This window comes from Homo sapiens, chromosome 5, assembly GCF_000001405.40.
Source record: "Homo sapiens chromosome 5, GRCh38.p14 Primary Assembly".
In the NCBI taxonomy this organism is placed as follows: Eukaryota; Metazoa; Chordata; class Mammalia; order Primates; family Hominidae; genus Homo; species Homo sapiens.
In genome coordinates this window covers 5,399,433-5,409,726 of record NC_000005.10, presented here as the reverse complement: position 1 = coordinate 5,409,726, position 10,294 = coordinate 5,399,433, and the positions used below count along the sequence as shown (strand labels likewise).

The window sequence follows — 10,294 nt, the reverse complement described above, 5'->3', positions numbered from 1 at the left end:
CCTGGGTCTCAGTCCTGTGCCCTGCCCTACTGCAGTGAAGTCAGCTCCCCCTGCCCCATGGGCCGCACAAACAGACAAGGGCAGATACCTACATGGGGTCATGCTCAGAGTCAGGTTCCAGCCCCAGATGAGGGCTGAGAGGAGCAGGTGGATGTGGGGCAGGGAGCTGGAAGAACACTCAACACTCAAGAGACATCAGGTAGATGAGGCATGCCTTTATTCAGCAGCTCCCTCACAGGGTCAGTGTTACTTTTATACATTACACAATAGTGGCTGAGAGCCAGGTGGTGAGCTTCTTTATGTTATGTCCACATGGCTGTGATTATATAAATCATGGGACTGTGCGCCTGCACCACAAACCTGCTGAGTCATCCAGGCTGTTTACCTCAGCCTATGCCTGCTGCCCCATGCCTGATTAGCGGCAGCACAGCCATGTTCCTTACACATGGTATCAGGCATGACTACCATGGAAAGGTGCTGGGTACTGGCCATTCCTGTCATGCAAGTGGCCGCTACAGAAGACTCTGTCAGTGATAATGCCACCCACTTTCCAGCCCCACTTTGTGAAGAAGACAGAAACAGCCTTTTGGGTGGTCAATGCCTACCTTTATTCCTAAGATGACTGACTGTAATAGAGACTTAAATAGTAGGAAACCAGATTTGGGAAGGTATCTATGAAGGCAAACTCCATTAATTTGTCCATTCATTGAACATGTTTTATAGAGCTGCTGGCCTGCTTCATGCCAGGCCCTGTTTCATGTGCTGGGACATGGAGGTGAACAAACTCAGTGGGCCTCCTCCCCAGGAACTTGCCTACTGGTAGAGATGTAGCAGTGAGCCCCAACTAAGCCACAGCTAAGCTGTGAAGGTTCAGACTCTTCTGAGTCTAATAACTGAGAGTTAGGAGCAAAGTGCGCCTGCCATCGAAACCATAAAAGAAAAAAACAGAAGTCTTAAGAAACCTAATGATAAAATATCACAGGAAAAATTATTGCTTTAAGTCTGGACAACACATTACCTCATCTCTAATTAGCTGGGTATGGTGATGTGTGTCTGCAGTCCCAGCTACTCAGGAGGCTGAGGCAAGAGGATCACTTGAGCCCAGGAAGTTGAGGCTGCAGGAAGCTGTGATTGCACCACTGAACTCCATCCTGGGTAACAGAGCAAGACCCTGTTACATATATATAGTTTTACATCTGCATATTTATTTAAAGAGCTTTCTGTGGGCTGGGCACGGTGGCTCACGCCTGTAATCCTAGCACTTTGGGAGGCCGAGGCAGGCGGATCACCTGAGGTCGGTAGTTCAAGACCAGCCTGACCAACATGGAGAAACTCCATCTCTACTAAAAATACAAAATTAGCCAGGCGTGGTGCCTCATGCCTGTAATCCTAGCTATTCGGGAGGCTGAGGCAGGAGAATTGCTTGAACCTGGGAGATGGAGGTTGCGGTGAGCTGAGATTGTGCCATTGCACTCTAGCCTGGGCAACAAGAGTGAAACTCCATCTCAAAGAAAAAAAAAAGAGCTTTCTGTGAATATCATATAAAAAGCAAAACATTTGACCCGAGGAGAGTAGTTATTTTAAAGAAGTGAGCAAAAATGCTTGCTCAGCACTCATTTAGTTAACTCCCCAGCTGAAGATTAGTTGTTTGGATTAAGTAGCTGTCATAGGACCCTAAAACTTAAGTAACGGAAATGAAAACAAATTGTAGAAAAACAATTAGAAAAGAAAACCACAAACTTCTCCAGTGGTACTGAGGTTGCAACAAATGACGCATATGATAAATCACAGCGAAGGAAATGATTGCATTAAGTTATGGTAGATATCATCTTAAACATGGCTTAATGTGGTAGATAGAGGTGGTCGGCAACAGCATCCTTAATCTTCCCTCTGGTAGGTCTTTTGTGGATTGGAGGGTCTAGACAGCTAACCCTACATGTTCATGGTTAGAGTTTTGGATGTGAGTTAGAGCCTGCCGATTAGATGCACTCACAGAAGTTGTGGAAGGAAGAAGCAAGGGAAAGAACAGCTTCTGCTGCTCTGGCTGTATAGGAGAGCTTGCCCTGCCATCCCCATAGTGTTCCAGGATGTCCTCACTCGTCTTGTAGGCATCAAGACCCTTTGCAGCAGAGATGGCTGGAACCTTCTTGTTTCGCTAGGAAAGGAGGACCTGCAGACACAGGTGCACGCTCTCCTGACTCTGTGCCTTCCTCACTCAGCAGAGGTAGCAGCCTTCGGTCTACTTTGGCTTGCAGTGCTCTGGGGTCCTTTCTGAAGGCCCAGGATGGAACCAGTTTTCCAACCCGGTGTACAGCAATATTGTGGACACTCCATTTTAAATTCCTCTCTACTTAAAATGGTTAGGGTGGGATTAAAAAATTATATATTTTAAATTAACAAGTGTGTATATTATGGGGTACAATGTACTGTTTTGATTTATAGATACATTGTAGAAAAATTAAATCAAGCAAATTAATATGTCCATCCCCTCACTAACTTATTGTTTTGTGTGTGTGGAAAGAGAATGTTACAAATCTATTCTTTTGGCAGTTTTGAAATATGCAATACATTATGATTAACTGTGGTCACCATGCAGTGCAGTAGATCACCAAAACTTATTCCTCTAGGCTAATTGAAATTTTGTGTCTTGCTTAAAACATTTGTACAAATTTAGGGGTATAAGTGCAATTTTTTATTACATGGATATATTGTGTAGTGGTGACATAGGCTGGGCTTTTAGTATAACCATTACTGGAGTAGTGTACATTATACTCATTAAGTAATTTCTTATCCCTCACCCCTCCCACCTTCTCACCCTTCCTAATCTCCATGTCTATTATTCCACTCTCTATGTCCATGCGTACACATTGTTTAGCTCCCAACATCTCCCCTGACCCTACCCTTCAGCCCCCCTCTCTGGTAACTACCTTTCTACTCTCTGTTTTTACGAGATCAACTTCTTAAGATTCCACATGTAAGTGAGATCATGCAGTATTCTTCTTTTTGTGCCTGTTTTTATTTCTTGCAATTTAATGCTTACTAATATGGAATTTGGTAGAAAAAGTAGTTGTAGGCAACAGTTCCTCAAGAACAAGACCATACAACTGCTTATCAGCCTTGGTTGGATTTGAAGGCAGTAAGAACCTAATTACCACTAGTAAATGAGAACTTGGACATATGACACACTAAGAAACAGCTGCTTAAATTATCACCTGTGGTCCCTGGGAATACAAAGCCTGTTGAAGGCAGAGGGAGGACCCAGTGACTGCAGCAACATCATAGTGAGAATGAGGACTCTAAGGAGGGCGGGGGCCAGCTGCTCATGACCAAACTGAAGCGTTCAAAGAAAGAAAATTCCAGCTCAGGGGTTTACATTCTCAGTTCAAGGTATGTCCAGTGACAAGCCTCTAAGTCCTAAATGATTGCTTATCTCTTGTAGCTGCTGGCCAGATTTCGCCAAAACTCCCAAATGGAGGCCAATCATGCACATGACTGAATTACAGTGTAAGTTGATTCAGAACTTCGTTCACCAGGTCTTCTTTAGCAAATATAGGAAATGTTTTGGTTAGGAGTGAGAATAGGAGACAAGGGAATGAGGACTTCAGAGCTTCTCCTGCTAACAGAGGCTCCTCCTTTGATGAGGCCAAACCTACCGACACCTAATGTAGTTACCTTGGAAGAAAGGACGGTTCTTCTCATACCAATTTCTACCTCCCCCACAGCCTCTACACCTATAGTTATAATCAGATCCCCGCATACCCCAGAGGCACAGTACAGAATCTGACTCAGGAAGAAAGGAGTTACTCGTCAATGTACTTACAATGCGTTACAATTTGTTTATATTTATTTATATTAATTTACATTTATTCATATTGAATTACAGAAGATGCTAGGTAATATGTCTTGTCATATATTATAAAGATGTTAAGCCAGGGTAAAAGGAACATGAGTTTGGGCAAAATGTATCAGATATTCTGGAGTCTTTTACTTTCGCTAGATACCAGCATTCTTATTCTCTATCACAATTTAGCCCTAAGGAACTTGATTACCTTCCCATTCAACAGGGCAGTATATTGGTTCAATTTCTTGATGACATCATACTTATTGAACTAGGTAAGCCAGAAATATCCTGGCAATCACATGTAAGATAGAGCAGGGGAGATGAAAGCCCAATGAAAATTTGCAAGGGCCACCAAAACTTTGGAGTTTCTGCTAGGCCAGATGTAACCCAACTGTGGGGAGTGAAAGTCAGTTGTTGTTATTTGACACCCTATAACTAAAAAATAAGCATTAAACTTTCATTCCATCTGATATTGAAATGAAACTCAATGCTCCTTTTTTATTTGGTCAGCCTTTTTTTTTTTAATCTGATGTTGGAGGCAGGGTATACCTCCTTTAGGTATGCTGTGCTGACCCACTTATTGAGTACCTTGAAAATACAGTTTTAAGGAGAGCTTGAAGCAAGAGAGGGCAATGAGATCTGCTATCTGGTATCCCAGCTGATGCAAGAGGAAGGACGAGATGCTTCATGGAAACTATTGCAAGCCTAGTGTCTTAGTCCATTCTCACACTGCTATAAAGAACTACCTGAGACTGGGTAATTGATAAAGAAAAGAGGTTTAATTGGCTCATGGTTCCCCAGGCTGCACAGGAAGCATGGCTATGGAGGCCTCAGGAAACTTACAATCATGGCAGAAGGCAGCGGGCAAGCAGGCCCATCTTACATGGGCTAGAGCAGGAGGGAAAAAGAGAAGGAGGAGGCGCTGCACACTCTTAAACAACCAGATCTTGCAAGAACTCACTATCAGGAGAACAGCAAGCGGGAGATCTGCCCCCATGATCCAGTCACCTCCTACCAGACCCTCCTCCAACGCTGGAGATTACCATTTGACATGAGGTTTGGCCGGGGGACACAAATCCAAACCATATCACCTAGTAATGCTTTTTTGGAAAATAATTACAACATTTTTTTTTTTCTGAAATGGCTCTTTGTTGCTCCTGGGCCCTGGTAGAGACCAGATGCCTAACTATGGGACATTAAGTGACCATAAGATCTAAATCATGAGTCACACAATTTGACTTTTATAACAGCACGGGGTGGAATGAAAGTGGCATATGTGAGGCTGAGCGTAAGCGTGATCCAGAGACTCATCTCTCAGCATGCCCACCAATGACGCACAGGTGTCTCTCTTTTAACCAGCCCTCAACTGTGGCCTCCCTTGATTGCCTGAGGAAAACAAATGTTGATGCTAGTTTACAGAAGGTTCTGCATGGTATGCTGGTAACAGCTCATGAGGGATTTCTGCAGCTCTTCCCAGGTTTGCTCCGACAGAAGAGTAGTAAAGGGAATTTCTCCCAAGGGAAGAAATCGAGCAGAATATGAAATGTCTTATTTTTTTTTTGGAAGGATACACGTCCAGATGTATAGCTCACAACTGATTCATAGGAAGTCGATGGCAGGTTGGATACTTGAAGACCTGAAAGAAATAACCCTGGAGAATCAGTGACAAAAAGTTCTCTAGAAGAGGCATAAGCACAGAATATAGGATACTTGTGTTCTTTATGATTCTTTATGTTTTTTATGATTCTTAACCAAAGGACATCAATTTCAGATAAGTGTTTCAGGAACCACGTGGGGAGATGACCAGCCTGTGAAGGTCAGGCAGCCTTTTCTTATGCCATCTGTGTTTTCCCAGTGAGTTCAGGAATAAGACGGCCATGGTGTCAGGGATGAAGATTAAACATGAGTTCCACAACATGGGCTTTGCCTCTTTAAGGCTGAGTTGGCCCATCCCTGCTGTGTGCGCTTCCTGTTAAGAGTAGCTTAATGCAGAGAATGCATTAAGCTATTAATGCAGAGCTATTTAAGATAGCTAGTGATTCCTGCTTCTTGCTTCTTAGCCTGAGTATGGCTTGGATACTTTCTTCCAGTGCTTTGGAAGAAGACACAAAAACTACATATGAACTCTCGATTTTTCCCAAGCTGGTTTCTCAGTTTATCTTCCTCCTTTCTATCAATGATAGCTCATTCTCCCTGTCAGCTCTCTGCTGACTGTTTTCTTCATGCCTTCTCTGAAATTCTCTTTCTTCTCCTCCCTACTGCCTCACTCCCAGCACAGGCAGGCTCCATGACCACACAGGTATACCCAGCATCACCTACTCATCTATGATGTGGCTTCACTCATCCCATTCCGCATTCTTTTAGAGCTTTTAGAGCTTTGACACATTCATTTTCTTAAAAAAAAAAAAAGAGAACTGGACACAGTGGCTCACATCTGTAATCCCAGCACTTTGGGAAGCTAAGGCAGGGAGATTGCTCTATGCCAGCAGTTTGAGGCCAGACTGGACAACACGGTGAGACCCCCATCTCTACAAAAAATACAAAAAATAATCAACTGGGCATGGTAGCACACACGTCTAGTCCCAGCTACTTGGGAAGCTGAGGCAGGAGGATCACTTGAGCCCAGGAGTTTGAGGCTGCAGTGAGCTATGATGGTGCCACTCTACTCCTGCTTGGGCAAGAGAGTGAGACCCTGTCTCAAGACAAAGCAAAACAACAAAACAAAAATAAGCATGTTATTTTATTGTTTTAAAAACCCAGTCACTAAGGTAAACTACAAGACAAAGCCCCCAACACCATAGTATGGAGTTAGCAGCCTCCCCTCTGCTTCCCGCACGTCTTTGAAGCCTTATTACTGATTGGTACATTATACCAACTCTCAGCCCCCTGTCATGCAGCAGATCATTCTAGCTGTGCCCTCATTCCAAACATCTCCCTCCTGGAGAGTGCTGACTGGCTACCTTCATCTGCCCAAATTCTGCCACCTTTGACTTCCTGCTCAGGACCCACCTTTCCCATGATTTGCCCCTCATTTATCTAGCTCAGAATAACCACTCTGTCCTGTGAACGCCTGCAGGATTTAGAAAAGAACTGAGCCATGCATTCAATCTCACACTGCCTTGTGCTATCTCTTGGATGTTTTTGTTTTTATGTGTTTTTTTGTTTTGTTTTGTTTTTGGTTTGTTAGCTCTTAAACTGTTCTATATTCTTTTAATGTGTAGGTTATAAATCCTGAGAACTCAGATTATCACTGTGTCATACACAATGCATATTACAAATCGATTCGTAAAGCAGGGTTTAATCCATAATTATTCAACTGAAGGGACATTTGGGAATCATGGATGGGGAAACAGCTCACGCAATCAACCCTGGAGGGTGATGGTAAATACTGTGTGTTCTAATATCAGCTCAGTTATGCGTGTCTTCTGTGCATAAAATGTTTTTTCACTTGTATCTGAGATTTCCTGCCCCCCAAATGGGAGTAAATCTGTTGACTCATTTATCAGGAGTCCTGTGAAGTGCAGCATTGTTTGTAAAGCGTCTCTTTCCTCTGATAAACAGCAACATGAAGAGACCAGTGTAACTTTCCTCATGAAGTATGTTTAAGTCACGGATCTAAAATTTGAGAGAAGCAAAAGAAATCCGATAAATTTTGAACTTGACAAAGGTGACCTTTTGTCCTTGAACCAAGTGGTACTAATTTAGAAAAGAAGAAAAAAATCCTTGTTTCTGCCAGAGTTTATGTTTTCAATTCACTTATCCAAAGTTTTACTATTTTTTGTTGTTGTTGTTTTTGAGGGGAAACTCCTATATCCCACTAGATTGATGAAACTCCCGTATGTTATAGGAATAAAGTACATGATTTCCTCATCTAAACATCTTCCCAGAAAAGTAAGGGTTTGTGTTAGAAATCAACACATTCCTATTCGATCCTAATTTATCGAACAAGCTAAACATCTGCTCCAGGCCAGGCACTGCTCTGGGGAAGTAGAGGTGGCGAAGATATACTCCCTGTCCTCAGGGTGTTCACATACTGGCCAGGTGAGCCCCTTGCGAGTTATGATGCTCTCCCCTGAGCACAATGACAGAGGCGCAGGGGTAGCAGGGCAGGGTCAGGGCAGGACTTTTCACCGGACATCCAGGCATACTTCACAGAGGAGATAGGCCTTGAATTCAGAGCTGGAGGCTAAGACAGGATTGCCAAGAACTGAGCCATTAGAGTTAGCGCATTCCCAGGGGAGACGGAACAATTTTGGCAAGGGCACCTGGCATAAAAATATTGGCTTAATGAAGGGAGGTGTGTATCAGCATATGGCTGCAAGGAAGATTGTCTAGGGAGTAATAAGGAAAGATTATGTAAAAGTGGGTTTCAGGGGTCTTTAAGTTGCAGGGAAGGAATTTGGGAAGCAAGAATATTGAGCTTTTTGGGAAGTCAGGGAAGGGCATGGAAGAGATTTGTATAACAATTTGGACTTCCAAGGAAGAAACCTTTCTAGGGATGGATTTCTTTTTTTCTATGAGACAGAAATAAAAACGCACAGACTACAGTGGATGATTCATGCCAGCGTGTGGATTTGTATGTACATACTGTGCAAACGCAGCACAGTGTAACAGTAAGCGGAGCAGAAGCTAAGGGGCTTGCCTTCTAGAAATACTTGACTTCTAGAAATGTGCAAGGCGTGATGCAAAGACGGAGACTCTTAGGACACAACCTCTTACTGTGTGGCCGTGGCCACATAACCTTTGAAGAGGGTCTTTATTCACACGTCATAAAATGAGGGCAACAAGACTTTCCCCTGTGTTGAGGTCATTGCATATATAATGTATCTGGCTGACAAATTGGTTCCCAGTAAGTAACAGAAGTTAAAATATGAAGACATAGTCAAAATCTCAGTACTTGTTAATTTCTGTCTCCCCCATTGCTGCAGACTGAACTTTCATTGAAAGTAGGTCCACGTGGTTAACAAAATGGCCTCCTTGTTTTTTCAAATTTTTTCTTTTAAAAAGGCTCACATTGTGCCCACTTTTAAAATTAACCCCAGCACACAGTAACTGGCATGCTCTTTCTTCCAGTGTGGAAATGCACTCCTACGTGGCTAGTGGGTGTGCAGATCAGAATTCTGTGGGCTAATCGCTTGCAGCACACGCGGTTGTCCCTTAAGGAATTCTTCTCCATTTCCTTTTGAACACACCCGTGGAAGTCATTCTGGGTGTGGCCTTTGGAAGTCTTGTGAAGAAAATGTCCTGTCCGACAGCTGCCTTCTCTGTAGGTCACCCAGAGTCTCCGCTCCCAACTCGCCACTGCTCTCTCAATGTCTTGGGGTGACTTCTGGGTTTTCTATGAAGTGGGGGCCTCCCAGAGGCAACAGCCTCACACTGCGACACGATTTTCTTTCCTCTGATTCACCCAGGCATTTTTGGTGGGCTGAGTGTTGAGAATCAAAACATCTACACCCACATTAGTTTACTGTCTACACTAACGTCCATTTATTCTTCCACTGTCTTAACCAACCTGACATTGCTACTGCAGCTAACTCTTGCCCAGGAAGATTAAACTTATCAAACAACATTTTTGCTAATTTCAGTGACTTCTCCAAAATTAACTTAAATCGACATTCAGCTAGTCAGTATACAATAAAGACATTGGATCTTCTATAACAGATTATACCTTAGGAGATGTACACACCCCTCCCAAATGAGTGTATCATGAACACTAACCGATCCTAACCACCCTCCCCTTTTGAAAACCTGCTGTAAACTAGACAATGAAAACCTCATAAATGTCCCTCCTTTGTCCCACCCTTTCCAAGATGAACCTAAGACAATCCAGATGGTGTTCCCCTGACTTTGGTAAACAACAAGCTCATTTTTGCTTTATCACCAGCCTGCTCTGGTAGGACTTTTGGGGAGCAGCATTTGGTAGCAGAAATGCCATCATGGCCAGGTCATTGTAGTTGCTTGGTGTCCTGTGCTCACTGTTGAGTGCACGTCTCTTTGAGGACCATGCAAGGCCATGTGCAAGGTGGTTAAAAGTGTCTGCCATTGATCTAGATGCCAACACTGACCAGCACCATCATCTGGGGTAAGCCCTGTCTCTGTGTCTGCGGGTGGTGGGCTGAATAATGGCTCCAGAGTTACCCACTGCCAACCCCTTCTATCTTGTACGGCAAAAGGGACTTTGCAGATATAATTAGGCTTAGAGATCCTGGGGTGGAGAGATTGTTCTTGATTATCCAGAAGAGCCCTAAATGTAATCACAAGTATCCTTATGAGAGAAGGCAGAGGGGAGTTTGATAGAGAGGAGAGGCAATGTGCAGACAGAAGGAGAGACTGGAGTGAAGCACTTTGAAGACAGAGGAAGGGGCTACAAGCCAAGGAATGCATGTAGCCAACAGAGGCTGAAAAGGCAAAGAAATGTGTTTTCCTCTCAAGCCTCTAGAAGGAGCCAGCCCA

The 10,294-nt window shown here is 43.6% G+C and overlaps 1 long non-coding RNA gene across 5 annotated transcripts in view; it reads left to right on the top strand.

The window, feature by feature from the left end:
* Window positions 1–10,294, top strand: part of LOC101929200 (uncharacterized) — a 163,580-nt gene that overhangs the window by 12,403 nt on the left and 140,883 nt on the right. The window lies entirely within an intron of this gene.